This window comes from Homo sapiens, chromosome 17, assembly GCF_000001405.40.
Source record: "Homo sapiens chromosome 17, GRCh38.p14 Primary Assembly".
In the NCBI taxonomy this organism is placed as follows: domain Eukaryota; kingdom Metazoa; phylum Chordata; class Mammalia; order Primates; family Hominidae; genus Homo; species Homo sapiens.
The window spans coordinates 77767990-77789950 of NC_000017.11; the positions used below are offsets into that span (position 1 = coordinate 77767990).

A 21961-nucleotide genomic window follows, 5' to 3' on the forward strand; every position below is an offset into this window, starting at 1 on the left:
TCAGCCAGGCCAAACTGACACGTAAAATAAACCATCGCCAGCTGCCTTCCCTGCAACTCAAGCTGGAGATCCCCCACCTCTGGGTTCTGTTCTTGGACCGCTGTTTGCCTGGAGGAGGGAGATAGAGCGAGAAGAGAGAAAATGGCAGGCTCCATACCTGTTTGCACTTGGATAATGCAGTGGGCTGTGTGTGCAGGGAGGAGTGCCAGCCAGGGCTGTTTGTTCTAGGAATGGTTAATCCCTGTTCAAATTTATATCCTGAATCTTTAATGCAACTATGTCAATGAAGAGTCGGCAGCATTGCTCGGCACCGCTGGCTCTGACTTGCAGAGTACTTAACTCAAGCGTGAGGAGTTCCGAAGGTCCTCGAACACATTGGGATCCCACCCTCCTCCCATACACACTCACACATCCAGGAACCCTGGAAGGCTGGCCTGGGGGAGAGAGACAGATCAGAGCAATGCAGGGCCGGATTTTGTAAGTGGTGATGCTGACCGGCATCTGCCTCCTGTTCACTGTGTAGAGAAATCACACTACGTGGCTCCGTGTAGGGACCTTGCTTGGTTTCAGTTTGCAAGTATTTATTTAAAAAATAAGTTCTGGTGTTGGCCAGGAGTTGAATAATCTCAAGAAGCCGACTGAGAGCAGTACAGACTGTGTAACCAGCTACACACTAACTGTAGGGGGGTGTGGCAGCCTGAGCTCTGGGCAGAGGCAGGAGAGCCAGGAGAAGCTAGCAGCCAAGGGCTCCTGGGCAGGACTGTCCCCTCTAACTGGAGAGGAACCTCTACAGGGCCCCGCAGTATGCACTGGTGAAGGTTCCATGGCCAGGTCTCCAGTGAAACGGCCCTGATTTGGAGCGTGTGCCGATTCCCAGGTGTAAACGGTCCCCTGGGGCTCATTTCCAGCTGTCAAGGTGAGGTCACACACCTGTGCAGGACACCTGCAGCACACCACCAAACCAGCAAGCTTTTATGTTACTCTGAAGTTTTATTCTCTTTTCTGCTGAGCCGCAAGCAGAAGAAATAGAAAACTTGGAAGGAAAAGCAGGGTCCTTCACCAGAGGAACAAGAAGCAAACAGCAAAAACCTTTGCCTGCAAGTGAAAGGGCCAGAGGGCTGGCCAGAGGCCACCTGCAGGGACAAAACCACCTGGGAGCCCCAGACATCCCCACTCAAGTCCAGGCTGGCCCCAGCCAGGGGCAGCAGGGCTGGGGGTGCTGACCAAGGTCACAGCTCAGGTGGGAGTGGGTCCATGGCACAGGGAGCCATTCCTAAGGGAAGATCCCAAAGCTGGTGTCTTCACAGAAGAATGGTGGGAGCTGTTTCCTCATCTGTAAAATGGGGTGATAGCACATCCCCTTCAGAAGGCTGTCGTGAGAATTAAACGAGCAGGTGACTTGAAGTGCTTGGCAGGATGCCTGGCGCATACTATGAGCTCATGCAACAGGGACCCAGTGGTACAGATGCCAGCGGTGTGTGGTGGGAAGGCCAGCTTGGGAGTAACTAGAAGTGGACGGGACCTGTCTATACCATGGGCCCGGGGAGGGGAGGCACACACCACAGCTGTGGGCATCTGCTCGGTGGCTGAAGAGTTGATCTTCAGCAAGGACAGGGAGGAAATCAGGGGATCTTTGCGGAGCTGGGAGCATGGCCTGAGACTTGGAGGACAGGAGGACTGAGACCTGCAAACCCACAGCAGCGGATGGGAAGGGATCTCCAGAAAAACAAAACGCGGAGATGGGCGTGCTGGACTCTTTCTCACTCACTGCTTCTCCATAGGGTGCACTGGACTCTTTCTCACCCACTGCTTCTCCGTAGGGTGCTCTGAGGCAGTGATAGCTGCGGTTCATGAAGTCTTGACCACTTACTGGGCCAGTGTTTCCCAGACGCATTCCCTGGAAGACAGCAGCCGTTAGGTCAATAGGTGTCACCAAAACAGGTTCCACGACTAACGCCAGCCTGCCTCCTGCCACAGCTTCCCTGAGAGCGTCCCCAGCCCTTCTGAGCCTCAGCCGAGTGACCAGGGCTGCCGAATTAACGGGTGCTAGTGAACAAATGCCCTTCTCAGATCTCACGCTTACATTTTAAGCTGGGTCTCAGTGGGCTTGCCCAAAGGAATAAAGAATTGGCAATTTTGGGCAGGCTGAATCTCTGTGGCAGGGACCTATTAAGGTGGAGTCTTTCCAGTCTCTTCAAATTATAACACCCTAGTAAGAGGTCATGTCGCCCATGCAGGAAACGTGTGCCCTCTCTCTCTCTCCCTCCCCTGTCTTCCTCTCTTCCTCTTTCACACTCCCTCTCTTTCTCTCTCTCCCGTCTTCTCTCTCATCCTTACCTCCCTCCCTCTGTCCCTTCTCCTCCTCTCCTTTCCTTTCCCCATGTTCTGGAACTGAGGAATCCCTAGAGCCAAGCAGTCCCTGACTGACAGCTGACTTGGTGATGCAGGTGGAGACTGCAGCAGGGGGGGCTGGATGCGGTGCTGGGGGCAATGGGCCTGCTGGGTGCGTTGGGCGGGATGATGCCCAGGTTGGCAGGATCACCGTGAACCTGGATGAGTGGATCCCTGGGCGCCCACTTCTCCGAGGGAGGGCTGGACGCCTCCTCCTGTCTGAGGTCAGGGCAGCAGTCTTCCCAGCCCCAGGATTCTCAAGCCCATGGTGGCCTCTCCTGGTCTGATTCTCACCTCGCCTACTCACTGTGGGCCCCAGGCAGAGGCCCAGGGAGAATTTCTTCTCACCTCTGACGCAGACCCCGAAGGACTGAGGACAGCACCCCCACTGCGTCATCTGATGACGCAGGGAGGGAGGGCTTCCCCCAGCCCACCCCCGGCTGCAGCCGACCCTCTAGAGCCTGCCCCAGCCTGCCAGGCTCCATCCCCTGAGACCAGCCTTCAGCAAGCGTGGGACGGCTCAGCCCAGGCACCTCGTCAGCATGACTCAGTGCTAAATGATCAGATGAAATGGGCCTTCCCAAGGCCCAGCTGGAGGTGATGAGCTTCAGCAAGGAATTTGTTTTACCTCAAACTGGGATGTTTAACCCCAGGACAGGAAAAAAAAAAAAAGAAAGAAATCCCTGCTCACTGCCTTCCCTGGTGATTTCCCTGTGTGTGTGGAGGGGCTGAGTTGCTGGGCTGTTTGCAGGGACAGTTGGATGGAGCTAGATTCCGTGGCGGGAAATGGTATCTCTTGTAGCCACTTAAGACAGGGTGAGCCCTGAGCAAGGCAGAGGCTGGGGTCTTCCCCTGTGTGGAGGCTCCCGGCATCTGACGCCTCTGATGTCAGGAAGGGAGCCCGGCCCACCACAGCGGGACCCAAACCTCCATCACGTGCCCTGTGGAGGCACTGAGTGCAAGTCGGTTCTGGCTGGGACGAGTGAAGGTGGAATGATGCCCTGGTGAGATGCGAGCTGAGCCCCGGCTGCACCCCTTAGCAGCTGTATGACTGACAGAAGGTTCCCCGATCTCCCCAGCCTGGGGTTCCTCATTGCAAAACAGGGTCCCAGACTCCCAGGTCTGTTGCGAGGGCTTCTCTCGGCACAGAGCCTGGCACATGCCGGGTGCTTGTAGGGGGCCTCAAATGGAGTCAAGAGATGGAGAAAGACGGCTGGACTCCGGGGCAAGCCAAGGTCAAGGGGTCAGGAGTTTCTCCTGAGGCTAAAGGGGACCCTAACAGGGCACAGGGAGATAGAGATGTCTGCTGAGCTGGGGACAGGACCGGGCACCCTCTCAGGGGCCCTCTCAGGGGCCTGGGGAGACAGACGGCCTCGGCCTTGGGGCTGACAGGGCTGACACGGCAGAACACAGCCTGCGCCTCCCTGGACCCACCTCAAGTGCTGGCCCTCATATCTGAGGCTCCTTCTTCTTTGCACGTGGTCTCTCACTCAGGATGCCTGAGGGCTGGAGCAGGTAACCCCAAGGTGACCCTGGGGTCTGGCGATGTGGGTCCTGGTCCCACCTCTGCCTCTTCCTTGCAGTGAGATCTTGGGCACAAGACAACCCCAGAATGGAATGGGTCTAGGAGCGAGAATGGGGTGGGACGGGCATCTTCCAGGGGAGCTCCAACCTGGGCAGCCCCACCCAACATGCCCCAATCCCCAGGATTCAGGGCCTTCCCTCCCTGCAAACATCATTCTCCTCGCAGGCTCACAGGCTCGTTACAGGCTAATCCCAACCCAGCCTCAGGGCCTCAAGGGCAAAGGGAGGGCAGACAGGCTCCTGCTCCAGTCCTGGCTCCTGTGTGACCTCAGGCAAGTCACATAACCTCTCTGAGCCTCCAGGTCCTACCTCAAGGAAAGGGAATAATGAGCTCTTCCATCCAAGGCTGCTGTGGCAATGAAATGTCACATGTCATGTAGTTTTAAATAAGGTCATGTGTATAAAATGTGCGGGTGCTAGGAGCCACCCAGCACATGCTGGTTCCTTTCCTGTCCCTGGACCTAACTCTGATCCCAGACTGCTGAGTTCTTGGAGAACGTTATTCCCTGGGTTGCAAGCCACCTGCCCATCCCAGGCCTGTCCAAGGTCCCCCAGGGCTTTGTTCTACCAGGCGACTGAAGGCATTCCCCTTCCTGCCCCCATCTGCCTGTTCCCAGGCCCTCCAGATGAGGCCGCTGTCTGCCCTCAACCCGCCCACAGCAGCCCGGCCCCTCCTAGCCCGCGTTTGCAGGGCTTGGTCAGCCGCTGTGTCTGAGCCTGCTGGAATCTCAGATCCCTCTCCCCTTATCCCATGTGACTCAGTCTCCTTCCACCCATGGAATCTCCTCCTATCTCTCCCTGTGTCTATCCTCACCCCCTGCCTTGTGTAGGGTGGGAGACTGGAGTCCTGCCCACTGCTTCAGACCTCTCGTCCTGGAAGGCAGCCCTCTGGCTGGGCCCTGCCACCTGGGGCCACATCGGATTTTGCTGCATCTCCAGGGACCACCCTGCCCCCCTCACTTCCCTTTTCCTCTTCCCACCAGGATGCCCTGATCCCCCTGCCCAACCCAGAGTCTGGGCTGTCCCCAGCCAGTCCCAGCTACGGGTTCCCAGTCTCCACTCTCCCCAACCCCTCTCCAGCAAAGGCCAGCTCTGCGCTTCTCCTCGCTAGAGCCTTGCCCTTCAGGCCCTCTTCTGGCCGAGATTCACCCAGCCTCCACCCCTCACCTGGGTGAATGGCACCTCTGGCCTCACAGTTTGGGTGTCAGATTCTGGAGTCAGGTGCACAGATCTCAAAGCCTGCCTCTGGGCCACTGATGTGCTGAGTGATCTTGGGCGGGTCCACCCTCCCTTGCAGACCTTCAGTTTCCAGATCTGATAAAGCAGCAGTGATTATGCAGCTGAGTCGAACAATTAGAGTTTGAATTGCAAGAGTTCCCTTATGCTGGGATTTTCTGCCTCTGTCACCCCTGAGACAGCAAGACCAACTCCTCCTCCTCCTCCTCCTCTTCCTCCTCCTTCTCCTCCTCGGTCTCCTCAATGTGAAGACAAGGAGAATGAAGACCTTTATGATGATCCACTTCCACTTAATGAATACTAGACTTTCTCTTCCTTATGATTTTCTTTTCTTTTCTTTTTTGTGATGGAGTCTCACTCTATCACCCAGGCTGGAGTACAGTGGCGTGATCTTGGCTCACTGCAACCTCTGCCTCCCGGGTTCAAGCAATTCTCCTGCCTCAGTCTCCCAGATAGCTGGGATTACAGGGTCCCGCCACCACACCCAGCTAATTTTTGTATTTTTAGTAGAGATGGGGTTTCACCATGTTGCCCCAGCTGGTCTTGAACTCCTGACCTCAGGTGATCCCCCACCCCCAGCCTCCCAAAGTGCTGGCATTACAGGTGTGAGCCACCGCGCCCAGCCTCCTTATGATTTTCTTAATACCATTTTCTTTTCTGTAGCTTATTTTATTGTAAGATTGCAGCATATCATACATATAACATCCAAAATATGTGTATTAGCTCTTGGTGCTATCAGTAAGGCTTCTGGTCAAAAGGAGGCTCTTAGCACTTACATTTTGAGGAGTCAAAAGTTATACCCAGATTTTCGGCTGTGTGGAGTCAGCACTCTAATCCCCACATTGTCCAAGAGTCAACTGCACAACCTCACAGAGCTGTCGTGGGACTGAACAGGACACCATACATCAAGGGCCTTGCACACAGTGAGTTCAATCCACTGAGGTTGGGCATGATAACCCCCAGGGTGGCAGACACAGCCCCGATACACAAATCCTGTTTGGGGCCCTGCCACCTTTTTCCCGAGACACCAGCTGTTGGGCGTCCTCTGCTTCTGACGGGCCCCGTTGCATTCTGGCTTGACAAATGCCAGCTTTTGCCGAATCTCCCGCTCTGGGACGGGGGACATCACAGTTGAGCAGTTGGAACAGAGAAGAGTGTTTGAAAGGGCATGCGGTATCTGGGCCATGGAGGAGGAAATGGGGCATTGGTGGGTGGGATGGCAGGGCTGCCAGCATCTGACCCAGGAGGCTGGGAGGAGGCTGCTGTGTGAATACACGCTCGGCCTCTCACAGTGGCTGCCGCCGCATTAGCCCCTTGTGCTTCAGGGAACAGAGCATCCGTGATGGATGAGACTTTAATTAAAGTAATGAGACATTTATAATCGCGGTTATCTCCAAAATTAGGCCTTTTAGCAATTATTCCTGGGGAATATTCCTCCGGTAGATAGCTCCCTTTTTAGAACAACGTCGGGGGGTGGTCTGTACCTGAGAGAGATTTTCCCAGCAGGCCCTGGGCTGTGACAGGTCAACGATGAGGTTTCCCTGGAAAACAGGACGTGGCTTCTGCCTCAGGTTTCTCTCCAGAGGAGCAAAAGTTCGATGACCCTGGGCACCTAGTCAGGTCATAGGACACTTCTAGTGCCCTCAGAGAGGGTGCCTTTGGGCTCAGAACCTGAAGATCTGGGTTCAAGTCCTGACTTTACAACCTTGCTGTTGCTGAGACTGTTTGCCAAGTGGGATGTGATGGTTGATACTGAGTGTCAGCTTGATTGGACTGAAGGATGCAAAGTATTAGTCCTGGGTGTGTCTGGCAGGGTGTTGCCAAAAGAGATTAACATTTGAGTCAGTGGGCTGCAAAAGGCAGACCCACCCTCAATCTGGTGGGCGCCATCTCATCAGCTTCCAGCGAATATAAAGCAGGCAGAAAAACGTGAAAAAGCGAGACCGGCCTAGCCTCCCAGTCTACATCTTTCTCCCGTGCTGGATGCTTCCTGTCCGTGAACATCAGACTCCAAGTTCTTCAGTTTTGAGACTCAGACTGGTTTTCCTTGTTCTTCAAACTTGCAGACAGCCCATTGTGGGACTTTGTGATTGTGTCAGTGAATATTTAATAAATTCCCCTTTATATCTATCTATCTATCCTATTGGCTCTGTCCCTCTAGGGAACCCTCACTAATACACGGGATGAAAAGCACACGGGCTGAGAGGCGCCAAAGCCATAAGGTCTGTGAAAGTACTTTGTAAGGTCTCAGGCATCAGGCCCCAATATGTGACCATCATGTGTTCCTAACAGCAGATTCCAGAACATTCCTCTTTAAACTCCAGGACAGTCCCTTCCCTAGGGTAGGGCTTTGCCCCCAGAACTACTCATTGTCTGGGTTTCCAACACTGTTCATGGCCATTGATTAAAAAAAAAAAACAACCCTCTCCCTCTCCCTCTCCCTCTCCCTCTCCCCCTCCCCCTCCCCCTCCCCCTCCCCTTCCCTCTCCCTCCACGGTCTCCCTCTGATGCCGAGCCAAAGCTGGACGGTACTGCTGCCATCTCGGCTCACTGCAACCTCCCTGCCTGATTCTCCTGCCTCGGCCTGCCGAGTGCCTGCGATTGCAGGCGCGCGCCGCCACGCCTGACTGGTTTTCGTTTTTTTTTTTGGTGGAGACGGGGTTTCGCTGTGTTGGCCGGGCTGGTCTCCAGCTCCTAACCGCGAGTGATCCGCCAGCCTCGGCCTCCCGAGGTGCCGGGATTGCAGACGGAGTCTCGTTCACTCAGTGCTCAATGGTGCCCAGGCTGGAGTGCAGTGGCGTGATCTCGGCTCGCAACAACCACCTCCCAGCCGCCTGCCTTGGCCTCCCAAAGAGCCGAGATTGCAGCCTCTGCCCGGCCGCCACCCCGTCTGGGAAGTGAGGAGCGTCTCTGCCTGGCCCCCCATCGTCTGGGATATGAGGAGCCTCTCTGCCTGGCTGCCCAGTCTGGAAAGTGAGGAGCGTCTCTGCCCGGCCGCCATCCCATCTAGGAAGTGAGGAGCGTCTCTGCCCGGCCGCCCATCGTCTGAGATGTGGGGAGCACCTCTGCCCCGCCGCCCCGTCTGGGATGTGAGGAGCGCCTCTGCTGGGCCGCAACCCTGTCTGGGAGGTGAGGAGCGTCTCTGCCCGGCCACCCCGTCTGAGAAGTGAGGAAACCCTCTGCCTGGCAACCGCCCCGTCTGAGAAGTGAGGAGCCCCTCCGTCCGGCAACCACCCCGTCTGGGAAGTGAGGAGCGTCTCCGTCCGGCAGCCGCCCCGTCCGGGAGGGAGGTGGGGGGTCAGCCCCCCGCCCGGCCAGCCGCCCCGTCCGGGAGGTGAGGGGCGCCTCTGCCCGGCCGCCCCTACTGGGAAGTGAGGAGCCCCTCTGCCCGGCCAGCCGCCCCGTCCAGGAGGGAGGTGGGGGGGTCAGCCCCCCGCCCGGCCAGCCGCCCAGTCCGGGAGGTGAGGGGCGCCTCTGCCCGGCCGCCCCTACTGGGAAGTGAGGAGCCCCTCTGCCCGGCCAGCCGCCCCGCCCGGGAGGGAGGTGGGGGGGTCAGCCCCCCGCCTGGCCAGCCGCCCCGTCCGGGAGGGAGGTGGGGGGGTCAGCCCCCCGCCCGGCCAGCCGCCCCGTCCGGGAGGGGGGAGGGGGGGTCAGCCCCCTGCCCGGCCAGCCGCCCCGTCCGGGAGGGAGGTGGGGGGATCAGCCCCCTGCCTGGCCAGCCGCCCCGTCCGGGAGGTGAGGGGCGCCTCTGCCCGGCCGCCCCTACTGGGAAGTGAGGAGCCCCTCTGCCTGGCCAGCCGCCCCGTCCGGGAGGATGGTGGGGGGGTCAGCCCCCCGCCCGGCCAGCCGCCCCATCCGGGAGGTGAGGGGCGCTTCTGCCCGGCCGCCCCTACTGGGAAGTGAGGAGCCCCTCTGCCCGGCCACGACCCCGTCTGGGAGGTGTGCCCAGCGGCTCATTGGGGATGGGCCATGATGACAATGGCGGTTTTGTGGAATAGAAAGGCGGGAAGGGTGGGGAAAAAATTGAGAAATCAGATGGTTGCCGGGTCTGTGTGGATAGAAGTAGACATGGGAGACTTTTCATTTTGTTCTGTACTAAGAAAAATTCTTCTGCCTTGGGATCCTGTTGATCTGTGACCTTATCCCCAACCCTGTGCTCTCTGAAACATGTGCTGTGTCCACTCAGGGTTAAATGGATTAAGGGCGGTGCAAGATGTGCTTTGTTAAACAGATGCTTGAAGGCAGCATGCTCGTTAAGAGTCATCACCACTCCCTAATCTCAAGTTCCCAGGGACACAAACACTGCGGAAGGCCGCAGGGTCCTCTGCCTAGGAAAACCAGAGACCTTTGTTCACTTGTTTATCTGCTGACCTTCCCTCCACTATTGTCCTATGACCCTGCCAAATCCCCCTCTGCGAGAAACACCCAAGAATGATCAATAAAAAAAAAAATAAAAAAAAAAACAACCAATCAACAAACAACCTCATAAGCCCAGCAGACCGTGAAGGCCCCAGGAACTCAGGGCAGAAGTTAGCAATGTGGGTTCTGCCCTCGTTGGCCAGAAAGGTGCGGTGTGGCCATTTCACTTCCCTCGCTGGGCCTTGGATTTCCTTACCAGAAACATGATGGTCATAGTCACTGGCCAGTTGACTGCCCAGAGGTGGCACAAGGATGAAATGCAATTGGACTCAGAGAACCGTACCATGAGCCTAAAGCATCTCATCATTCAACCCCACAAATCTCAGGACAAAGTCAGTGCTCCACGGCGTCCATCCCCGGCTCCTCCCTCCCTAACTGGCAGAGACCAGAGGGACACACACGTGCCTCAAGTTCACACAGCAACATGGAACACCCAGGCCTCTCGTTTTCTGAAGCTTTTCCACCCCTCCAAACCTTTGCTATAATTATCACCACTGCAACTTTTAACTAAAACTGATTAAAAGTTTACCACGTGCCAGACACTATTTTAAGCATTTCTCCTGCATCATCGCATCAAATCCTCATAGTAACTCTGTGAGAGTTGTTATTGTTGTTGTTTCTGTTTCACAGACACAGAGGAGTTGAGAGATTTCCCCGAGGTCACACGGCGACGTGGACCCAGGTGTACGTCCCTTGCAAAGCTCGTGCTCTAACCATGACACCACACTGCCTCTGGCCCTGATGACTCTTGCAGACACTCTGACGGTTTGGTCCCAGTTCCTGGTTGGAGGGGGACCCCTGATAAACAGGGGTCACTGCTGATCTGGCCTTTCTGGAATTCTGCAGGGTCTGCCCTCACTTCCCTGCCACTCACCCTCACCCCACCCCCAGCCTCTCTGCTGTTTGCTGCTGTACCGCACAGCCTGTTCACCCCAGGATCTGCCCCTTCCTCTTCCAGGGTTCCAGGGCTTCCCAGAAGTCAGGCTTCCATTCCCGCAGGAAGGGTGCAAACAGGCCAGTTCCTGCTGTGGGGAGGAGTGGGTGCCACAGTCCCTCAGATCACTAATCTATTCGATCCTACTGTGTGCCAAGTGCTGCTCTAGGTGCAGATGAACAAGCCAGGTGGGGCCTGCCCTTGGGGAGCCTGAGGCCAATGTGCCCGAAGGGTGCCCAGTGCCCTACAGCCCGAGACAGACCCTGGCTGCATGAGGCTGCCCAGCACTGCACCCCAGGAGACAGGACAGCAGGAGAGCAGGAGTTGGACGCCCGCCTGCCCATCCAGCAGCAACAGGCACTGGGAAAGGGTGAGGCCCTGGGGAGAAAGAAGGCAAGGGAGCCGGGCAAGCAGCAGGCAGGAGAATCACAGAGCAGCTGTGCCCAGGAGCCCTGGCATGGGGGCCATGGCCAAGCAGCTGTGGCTGCTTCCTCTGTGTCTGTCTTTGTGGCCCTGGCCGGGATGGCGCTGGACCCCAAGAGGCTGCCTAAGCCAGTGGGCATGGCCTCCTTAGGCAGCCTGGGTGATGAAACGGACCAGACCCCTGGGTGTGGGCATCACTCTTGCTCTGCCAGGAAGAGGCAGAAGGACCAATGGCAGCGGCAGGGGTGGATTCTTGCCCAGCAACAGCTGCCAAGACTCTGGGTCCCGGAAGCAGCCCCTCCCTGCCTCCTTTCAGTGCCCTGGCTTTGCAATGCAGGGATTTGCCAGCCTGAGCTCTGCCAGCCTGGGTTCAGCAAATCCCGCAAGAAGAGCCGGCTCCCCACGGGATTGCCAGTGGACCAGTGAGATGCCTCCTTACCAGTGCCCACAGCGGGAGGGGTGTGAAATCGGGACTGGCTCCCTGAGAGCTGTTAGAGGCCACCCTAACTGCCCATGGGTATTCGGCTGAAATTCAGCTCCTCTGGGAGAAAAATCTGGAACAGAGAAGGAGGCTTTAATCTGTCCGCAGGCACTTCAAGGGGAGAGGAAGGATTCCTTTAGAAGGGGGCAGGGGTTGCTGGAAAACAAGGCTGTGGTTTTAGAGGAGGGCAGTTAGGGTGGCCCCTTCCTGGGGGTCTGGGCTTGGGGCCCTGCCTGCAGATGAGGGGGATCCGCCTGGGGCAAGGTCTTGAGAGAAGCCCCATAGATGGCCCCGTCATGTGGAGTCAGCGGCTGTGGTTCGGGGGAAACAGGGAGGCCACCGCCTGCTTTCCCGGGCACCGTGTGGCTGACCCACCGCAGTTGGAGGTCTTGGCTCTCAGGGAGCTTGTCCCGATTTCCCACCCCTCCCGCTTAAGGGAACTATGGGCCGCCTGGCCCTGTGCTGCCCGCCTGCACTGGTGCATCTTCAGCTGATGAGAGGATGTGAGGTCTGGAGTGAGGCCAGCATGGCTTCGCCTGCCAGGAGCCTTCCTCTGCTCGCTCCTCTCCCCCAGCCCCGGGACAGGTCCCCATGTCCCAGGCACAGTGACACTCTCTGGCATGGAGCCAAGGCAGAACTTGCAGCAGCCTGGGAAGGTGGATCCTGGGGCCACAGATCTGGATGAAGAACTTTCCTCCCGGAAGGCAAAGGCAGGCACCGCTGCTTGCCCCAGACGGTGGGGGTGCTGAGGCCTTGGCGCCACGCCTCTGTGGGGTGAGGGCCATCTTGAGCCAGAGCCTAGAGTGCATTCCAGAACCTGATCTTATCACTCCACCAAGGACGCTAGTATTCTGGGGGATTGATTTGCTGCAACCAGTGATGGATTTAAAACACATGAGGAAGCCAATTCATTCCTTCACCCTGGGCCTGCAGAACCATCCGAGCTGCACTGGGGCAGTTCTGTACATCTCCAGTGAATCCAGCCCTGCACCCCTCTGTTAACGTGCTTTTCAAACCAAACAGTGGAATGCATTGGTCATCACAGGGTTTGATCTGATGTGAAAAGTGTTATAAAGCCATTCCAATTAAAGTGCCTCTGGCCTTGTGTTTCCTGAAAGCTGCTATTGAGAGGAATATAATTGCATGAGAACAGCATCCCCTGAACTTGCTGCTTCTTGGGGACCCCACCACATGGCTTGGGTCAAACAGCACACTGACAGGATACCCTGGGCCACAGGAGGCAGCCTCCCACCCACACTTCTCTTCCTAATCTCCAAGTAGCCACTCCCCTGGGTCTGCCTTTGTCCCCAAACTGCCCGATCCCCAGTGTCCCCATCGGTGGGTCAGCATTTACAGGGCACCATCCTTGTCCCCATGATACAACTCTCACCCCACAGGAGCAGGGTGCTGGTGGCCCAGATTTCACAGAGGGCTTGGTGGGTTTCCAATCTTCGTCTGTGAGTCTCGAGTCCCTGAGGACAACGCCCCGCTTCTGTGTGTCTCTCCGGACTTGTGCGGGGGTACTCAGCAGACTCTTGGGTGATCCACCTAAGGTGCAGTGCCCTGCAAGAGCTGGACACCTTGAAAATAGAAAGGGGGTTCACTCCACGCGAATTATAATCCTGGGAGAAAGGTGCTTGGCCTGGCAGTAGCAGGGGGCAAAGAAAACACAGTGGAGGGAGAAGTAAGAGAATGGCCACTCCTGCCCCTCCAACTCCAGCAGTGCCCCCCCGACTCCAGCAGCCCCCACCACTCCAGCAGGCCCTCCCCACTCCAGCAGGCCCCCCCACTCCAGCAGGCCCTCCCAACTCCAGCAGTGCCCCCCCCCGACTCCAGCAGCCCCCACCACTCCAGCAGGCCCCCCCTACTCCAGTAGGTGCCCCTCACTACAACAGGCCCCCCCCACTCCAGCAGGCCCTCCCCACTCCAGCAGGCCCTCCCCACTCCAGCAGCCCCCCCCACTCCAGCAGGCCCCCCCTACTCCAGCAGTCCCCCCCACTCCAGCAGGCCCTCCCCACTCCAGCAGGCCCCCCCAATCCAGCAGGCCCTCCCCACTCCAGCAGGCCCCCCCACTCCAGCAGGCCCCCCCCACTCCAGCAGGCCCCCCTACTCCAGCAGGCCCCCCCACTCCAGCAGGCCCCCCCACTCCAGCAGGCCCCCCCCACTCCAGCAGGCCTCCCCCTATTCCAGCAGGCCCCCCCCCACTCCAGTAAGTGCCCCTCACTCCAGCAGGCCCTCTCCACTCCTTCTCTCCCTCCCTTCCCTTCCCATTCTGGGCCCTCGCCTTCATTCCCCTTTTCTCTTCGCCCTTTCTTTCCCCTCCTCTCTCCTCCTCAGAGTTAGAAAGACCTTGGTGGTGGGTCCCGGTAGGAGGAGAGGACGCTTGCTCCCCACTTCTTGGAGAGCGAGCCTTTGCTTGGCAGGGGTCTCAGAGAGCACCCCGAGCTGCTCACACCCCCCGTTGCTCACCACCAACCCCTTCAACGTCCAGGGTCCTGCAGAACTCTCAAATCCAGCCAGGTGGGTGTGGCTCAGGCCTCCGGCTACCTGTGCTGGGGTAGGGAACAGGGAAGGGGGCACAGCCTCTCTTTTATTGTTGTTTGGTTCTGGCCCTGCCACAGAAAGCATTTTGCAACTGGACCCTCCACCCACCTCCCCTGACCCCCTAGTGCCTGGCAGATGCTTCCTAGCGCAGGGGGAGGGAGGGAAGGAGCGGAACAGACGGCCCCCCCAGGGGTCTCACCTGCCATCAGCCTTCCAGTCTCCCTCATCCCCGCTTGCTGACCTCCCTCCTGGCCCCCAGGGGACCCACGAGGCACACCCTGCATGGACTGATGCCACCCAAGCCCTGGCTCCTTGCCCCCAGCCGACGCTCCACAGAGCTCTCTGCCTCGCTAACTTGGAACAGTCATAGCATGAGTGGGTTTTTTTCTCTTTTAGTCAAAATCAATGACAATGACAGAGTAATAAGGCGAGCCGTGGGGAAGAAGAAGAAAGCGCCTGGTGTCAGGATTGATGCAGGAGGCAGTTAGAGGGACCTATTAGGATTTCAGTTGCCTCAGGGTGTGCTTCTCCGGCGAGCAGGTGTGATGTCAGGGAACCCACTGGCAGGCAGGCAGCCTTGTCCCTGCACACCTGTCATTAATGTGGAAGGCGCAACATTGCAGCTATTAGTAGGGGGTGGCGGGGTGCGTGGTGGAGACATCTCAGTTATACAAGGGGGACTAAGAGTTCCACTGGGAGAAGAGAAGGAGGAACCCGAGGTGTCTGCCCCGACTCCAGGGCCCCGAGTCTGGAGAGAAGGGACCTCGGAGGGGGCGTTCACCACAGCGCAGTGGACAGGGCCTGACCGTCACAGGTAGGGGGTGCCTGGAGCCTGCCAGCCGGAGGAGTGGGGACCCCTTTGTTTTCCTCCCAAAGTCCACTGTTCCTGCTGGCTCCAGAACAGCCCCCAGGCATTGCCACGCTCCCTCCCTGGGCCACACTGGCTCCCCGCACCTCAAAAGGGAGAAAGACCCACAGGGCTGGGGGAGACGGCAGATCCCCCACCATGCACTCACATAGCTGGGGTTCTTGTCACTTTGCCAGGTCCCTTTCAATTTCCACTCTGAAAGAAGGGCTGGCACATGACAGCGTTAACCTCTGGCCTCCATTCTCTGCCCCCCAGAGAATGAAACAAAGGGAGAAAGGGGATCTCCCCAGGGATAAGGCAGGCTCAGGTCAGAGGCCCTCATTGCCCAGTCATCTTGGGCAGCTCCCTAGCTCTGCCCCTGGGTTTCCTGTCTGTAAAACAGGGTGCTAATACCTGCTTGCTTGGGGTCATTAGAAGTTGGATGCAGGACGGGCTACCTAATCTGTGGAGCCCAGTGCACATGACAAGGGGAGACCTTGTTAATAAAGTACTAAGAATTTCAGATCCAGGTGCAGTGGCTCACGGCTATAATCCCAGCACTTTGGGAGACCAAGACAGGAGGATCACCTGAGGTCAGGAGTTCAAGACCAGCCTGGCCGACATGTTGAAACCCCATCTTTAAAAAAATACAAAAATAAGCCAGGCATGATAATGGGTGCCTGTAATCCCAACTACTCAGGTGGCTGAGGCAGGAGAATCGCTTGAACCAGGGAGGCGGAGGTTACGGTGAGCCAAGATTGCACCATTGCACTCCAGCCTGGGCAACAGAAGGAGACTCTGTCTCAAACAAAAAAACAAAAAAACAAAAAAATTAAAAAAAAAGAAAAACTTCCGGACAGCAGTCGTTCTTGCTAAGAATTTCTAGAGTAGGAAGCAAGGGTCTTGCTCCCTGCCCACTGTGCAAATGAAAGAATCAAGTACAAGGAGTGAGAAAGACAGCCTAATGTTTCCTGGACATGGTGGCTGGGGACTGGCTGGAAGTTGGGGAGGGGACCCCCCCCAGCCTAGGTAGGCCCAGGTTCCTGCAGCCACAGCCTTGATGGTGATGGTCCAGGGAGAATGGCTGAGGGTGCCCACCTGGCAGGACCACAACTGTGATGAGTGAAATCAGCACGAGAAGGACTCTGGCACCCAGTTTGGGGGTGGGCAGGCAGGATGAGGCAGTGATGGACACGCGCAGCCCCCACCACACCTGCCTTCATCAGGGGCCTCCGGGTGCCCGGACGGATGCTGGTGACCATGGCAAGGGAGGGCTCAACGGTGCTGCCACAGCGGTGGTGCCTCTCGAGAGGCAGCTGGTTAGAAGTGAGAACGCAGTGTCTTCCGCCTCTCCACACCTTCTCAAGGAGGTGATTTCCCAGCCACCCGCGAGCAGCCGAGCATCCTCATTCAGCTCCTCAGGTGTCAGGGCACTGCTCTTGTTTACACTGTCATCGCCCTTGCACTGAACAGCAGAGGCGTGGACTCCTTTTGGCTGATCTTTGCTCTGAGCACCCAGCGCTATGCCAAGGATGGGGAGCCCCATCCAGAGCCCAGGCACCATCTCCAAGCAGATGGAGGAGCTAGGAACAGCTAGGAGGGTCTGTTACCAAAACAAAACTGGCTCCACTCACCCAGGTTGGTAAAGCCAAATACCCACACTGAGGTTTGCAGCAGGAGAAAGGAGGGCGTTTATTTGCCAGGTGCCAAGCAAGGAGAATCAGGCAGCTCACACTTAAGACCCAACATCCTCAATGGCTCACGAGCAACGGTTTTGTTTTTTCTTGTTGGTGGTTTCTTTTCTTGTTGTGTCTCACTCTGTCACCCAGGCTGGAGTTCAGTGGTGAGATCACGGTGCACTGCAACTTCTGCCTCTTGGGTTAAAGCAATTCTCCTGCCTCAGCCTCCTAAGTAGCTCAGACTACAGGCATGCACCACCATGCCTAGCTAATTTTTGTATTTTTTATAGAGTTGGGGTTTGGCCTTGTTGGCCAGGCTGATCTCAAACTCCTGACCTCAGTTGATCCGCCCACCTGGGCTTCCCAGAGTGCTGGGATTACAGGCATGAGCCACCACACCCGGCCACAAGCAAGGGTTTTCAAAGGCGGGAGTATATTTCAGGAAAGCAGAAGTTTCAGGCAAAATCGTTAATCAGTACATGAACATTATACATTGGTTTGGCCTCAAAAGGTGGGATATCTTGAAGTGAGGGGGCTTACAGGACCAGACGGGCAGAGAAAAGTCTCATCCGTCCCCCAACCCCCATCCTCAGAACTGGCCTGGCTTGCAAGGAGGGGATTTTGTCTCCATTTCACAGATATTAAGGAAATTGGGTGCAGAAACTTTCAAGAGCCTGCCCAGGATTCACAGAGTGAGAAGCCAGGGCAAAGCCAGAATTTAGACCTAGTGCTGTGTGGACTCACCCTTCCCACAGGAACATCCTGCTTCAGAACTGAACACCTGCAACTCAGCGTGGCTCACTCGATCCCAGCTCTAGGGGGTGACCCGGCCACCCACACCACTCTCTCCCCACCCCACACCATGGGTTCTGGGCTGCCTCACCCTCCCTCATTGCCTCCTGCGTGCACAGAACATCCTTTCCATGGGGGACATGCATCAGGAGTAGAGAAGGCTGGGCAGGGACATGGTGTGGGATCGCATGCGGCTGATATTCCTGTTAAATAAATACATTTTGCTAATTGGATTACTCAGACAGTATAATATACTACTGGATTTCCAACATGATGCTAATAAATTGTGTGAAGAACTTAATCATGTTAGCGTCCTGAAAGCTTATAAGAGATGAAATGAGAAAATCAGGCAACGTTGACACCCAGGGCCTCCTAAGGCTCTCAGGCTCCTGGAGCTTCCGTGAGCTCCCTTCGCCGGGCTCTCTGCAACAGAAGCTGCCGCTGGGCATGTGGGGTGCGTGTGGGGGTGTCAAGGGGAGGGAAGAAGGAGGTATTCAGCCAGAGAATGAGAGTCACTGTGCCAGGGACTCGAGGACCTGTCCCTGGGCCAGGGGAGAGAAGCTGGCCGAGCAAGGTTCCCAGCAGGTGAAGCCACCCTGGCCCTCACACTCCTCTCATCAGCTGAAGGCCCAGCGGGTGCAGGTGGGCAGCACAGGGCCAGGCGGCCTGTGGTTCTGTGAACCCAAAATATCTGAGACAGTCTCAGTTAATTTAGGAAGTTTATTTTGCCAAGGTTGAGGACGTGCGCCCATGACACAGCCTCAGGAGGTCCTGATGACATGTGCCCAAGGTGGTCAGGGCACAGCTCGGTTTTATACACTTTAGGGAGACAAGAGACATCAATCAACATATGTAAGATGAACATTGGTTCTGTCCCGGAAAGGCAGGACAACTGGAAGCAGGGAGAGGGCTTCCGCTCATAGGTAGAGAGGAGACAAATGGTAGCATTCTTTTGAGTTTCTGATGAGCCTCTCCAAAGGAGGCAATGCATGTATCTCAGAGAGCAAAGGGGGGACTTTGAATAGAACGGGAAGCAGGTTTGCCCTAAGCAGTTCCCAGCCTGACTTTCCCTTTAGTTCAGTGATTTTGAGGCCCCAAGATTTATTTTCCTTTCACAGTTCCCTCAAGGGTCTGTGCAAAAAGCATCAGGACCCTACCCACTCCCCTTGCTGCCAATGTCTTTCCAAAAGTGTTTCCACCCACATCTCCCTTCACACAGGGAACCACTGTGGGCTGAAGGTGGCCAAGAAGTTGTGGGAAGCACCTGCGGTTTTGAGGAGGGAAGGGCAGGGACTGAGCCAGGTGGCCGGAAGACAAGGCCAGGAGAGCCTCCATTAGTCCCTGAGAACTCCAGAGAGAGGTGGCTTCCCTCCTTGCCTTCCAGACTGGAAATCTGGGTGGTTGATGTTTAATTAACATTGGTATTGACTTGAAAAGCGAAGACCAGAATTTAAGAGCTCATTACCCCTCTTGCCTTCATATCTTGGCTCCTGGCTACCCAGGAGGGGATGAGGGATGAATGAGGGTCTGTGCTGCAGAGGCAATGAGACTTGCCGTCTCACCAAGCAAGCAAGTGCATAGCACGGGACAGGCCATTAGAACACCACGCACATGCACGTATGCACACTCACACCCAGGCACACTCACATGCATGCACACTCACACGCACACATGCACACACCTGAACTCAGCCCCCAAACAGGAGCACTCTTCAATGGCCATCATTAAAATAATAACTGGCTTCTGCAGCAGCTTCCCAGGTATTAATGCAAATGTTTTTCTAACTCTCCAGGTTCAAGAGCAACAGCTTACACAAGTCTAATTAGCATAACAAAATCCAGCCAGGAAGAGAAAACAAGCTCCTCTTATTTGATGCTTCCTGGTAATTAGCAAGAACAATTACTGCAGCATCCGGAATTTCCAACCCCCAAAGATGCCAGGGCCACACTTGAGCACATCAGGAATCAATTTAGAGAAGCCAAAATAAGGCCATTATGAGGGATGCTCAACCCGAGCGTGACATGTGTGTTTGCAAGCAAGCAAGCAAGCACTTCCCCGCCCACACCGCCCCTGTGCTGACCGCTGCAGCCTGCCTCCTGCCCTTCCCCGCGTCCACACACACACGCCCGTTCATACGCTCCTCGCCCAGGTCTTCGCGCATCCAGCATCCATTCATTCAGCAAATGTCAGCGACTGGACCTGCTGCTTTGTTCAGAAGGTGCAAAGGTGAGAAAGGCAAGGTCCTTGCACCCAAAGGGTCTGGTTGGGTGTGTTTAACCTGCATTTCATGCTGCCTTCTGTGTGCTGGGCCCGGTGGTGCAGTGCAGAGATCAGAACAAGACAGCACCCATCACCAAGAATGTCACGCCCATGAGGTATTGGATGCCTTCTAGGTGGTGAAGCCCGTGCCTGGCTCAAAGGGCACACAGAAGAGAGAGGGCCTCTCTCGTCCTGGGGTGGGTGGGTCATCAGAGACTTCATGAACCAGGTGACTGCAGAGCTGGGTTTGAGGATGAAAAGAAGTTGGTCATAGTGGGTGGACATAGGTCAGAAGAACAGAAAGAGTGCTTAGGTAGGCACTGTGGGATAAAGCCACAAAGGCAAGAAAAGGAGCGGGTGCTCAGGGACCTCGCAGCAGAGTGCAGAGGAGTGAAGGAAGGAGCCACAGGAGATGGGCCTGAGGAAGCTGGTGGCTGAAGGTCGTAGCAGGTTTCAGGGGCTGGGCCATGGATCGAGCAAGAGGGAATCAGGGTTCTGGTGCGGTGGCTCATGCCTGTAATCCCAGCACTTTGGGAGGCCGAGGCAGGAGGATCACTTGAAGTCAGGAGTTCAAGACCAGCCTGGCAAACATGGTGAAACCCCTTCTCTACTAAAAATACAAAAATTAGCTGGGTGTGGTGGCACGCACCTGTAGTCCCAGCTACTCTGGAGGCTGAGGCAGGAGAATCCTTGAACCTGGGAAACGGAGGTTGCAGTGAGCTGAGATCGCGCCATTGCACTCCAGCCTCAGAGTGAGAGTCTGTCTCAAAAAAAAAAAAAAGAGGGAGTCGGGAAAGGAGAGAAGACTGTATGGAAGAGGCACGGTCAGTGTCGGTGGCTGGAGAGGATGCCACTGTCCCATCCAGGTGGGGTGGACAGTCTCCTACCCCCAGGCCAAGAGGGTAGGCATGGATCCAAACGGGAAATGACAGATGCTGGACTCCCCGGGAGAGAAATCCTGACTGCCTGCATGTCAGGCAGAAGGGAGAGGGAGGAGATGTCCAGAATGACCACGTGGATGTGGGGAGGAGGCTGGGGGAGCTCTGCGTCGATGGGATGGGACCGTCGAGGCCAGCTGGGAAGAGGCCCCACTCACATGACTCATTCATGTGGGTCACAGCCTTCTGTGTCCAACCTGTGTCTTCTGTTCAGATCTGCACCCTTGTTGATACCCAACTACCCAGGTGGAAACAGAGCCCTGTCGTGACCATTCACAGACGACACAAGGCGTGGAGCCCCAAATAAGAGACTATGTCATGAGCTGAGCACCCCCACACCCATCTCTGCCTCAGAAACAGGTCTCCCAGGCTGAAAGGGAGGAACCCTTCTCTTCTCCTTTGTAATGGCAGCCTGAGAGGTCTCCGCGGCTTCTCTCAAGCACCCACACTGAGGCTTTGCTATAAAACCTTCCTTCCAGCCTGGGCAACATAACATGACCCCATGTCTACTAAAAATTAAAAAAAAAAGAATAGCTGGGCATGGTGGTGCATGCACCTGTAGTCCCAGGGTGTTGAAGTGGGAGGATCGCTGGAGCCCAGGAGTTCAAGGCTGCGGTGAGCTATCATCATGCCACTGCACTCCAGCCTGGGTAACAGAGTAAGACCCTGTCTTAAAAAAACAACAATAACAACAACAAACAAACAAACAAAAATCTTCCTTCCTTCCTGGTCTACTTCCCTGTGCTTCTGCTTAAGCTGATCTTACCTGGTGCCCAGTGGAAGCAAGACAACTGGGCACCTTCTTCCCTCTGCAGAGCCCGTGAACACCGTGGTGAATCTTTCGGGAGCTCCTTTGCTCAGGTAACCCTTTCCCTGGACACATGTTCCTGATTCGCAGGCAGGCCTCATCTTATCTGGGCCTTCAGTGAGGTGAGGCCTCACTCAGCATTTCAATCTGGAACATCGAGTTGACAGAGGGTAATTCACATAATTAACTTCCTTTTCTTTTTTTTTTTTTTTTTTTTGAGATGGAGTCTTACTCTGTTGTTGCCCAGGCTGGAGTGCAGTGGCTCAATCTCGGCTCACTGCAACCTCTGCCTCCCGGGTTCAAGCAATTCTCCTGTCTCAGCCTCCCAAGTAGCTGGGACTACAGTAGCATGCCACCGCACCTGGCTAATTTTTGTATTTTTGGTAGAGATGGGGTGTCACCATATTGGTCAGGCTGGTCTCAAACTCCTGACCTCAGGTGATCTACCAGCCTCAGCTTCCCAAAGTGCTGAGGTTACAGGTGTGAGCCACTGTGCCTGGCCCACATAATTAACTTCTAAATCAAAAGTTGGAACTGAAAATGCAGTTTTCCTTGTCCTTCACATTCCAGGTTGATTTCTCCCATCTCCCTTCCTTGGAGATGTGGGAAGAGAGGGCCGATGGTCC

General features: G+C 56.2%; 3 annotated features.

Moving 5' to 3' along the window:
• Positions 1184 to 1684: an enhancer, noted in NCBI's record as "H3K4me1 hESC enhancer chr17:75765255-75765755 (GRCh37/hg19 assembly coordinates)". NCBI's record gives its function as "activates a minimal SCP1, AML or CMV promoter by ChIP-STARR-seq in primed H9 embryonic stem cells {active_cell/tissue: H9 hESC(primed)}" and the evidence as "EXISTENCE:reporter gene assay evidence [ECO:0000049][PMID:30033119]".
• Positions 2032 to 2887: an enhancer, noted in NCBI's record as "H3K27ac-H3K4me1 hESC enhancer chr17:75766103-75766958 (GRCh37/hg19 assembly coordinates)". NCBI's record gives its function as "activates a minimal SCP1, AML or CMV promoter by ChIP-STARR-seq in naive H9 embryonic stem cells {active_cell/tissue: H9 hESC(naive)}" and the evidence as "EXISTENCE:reporter gene assay evidence [ECO:0000049][PMID:30033119]".
• Positions 7224 to 7424: a silencer, noted in NCBI's record as "peak3013 fragment used in MPRA reporter construct". NCBI's record gives its function as "represses an SCP1 promoter by STARR-seq MPRAs in K562 erythroleukemia cells {active_cell/tissue: K562}" and the evidence as "EXISTENCE:reporter gene assay evidence [ECO:0000049][PMID:32103011]".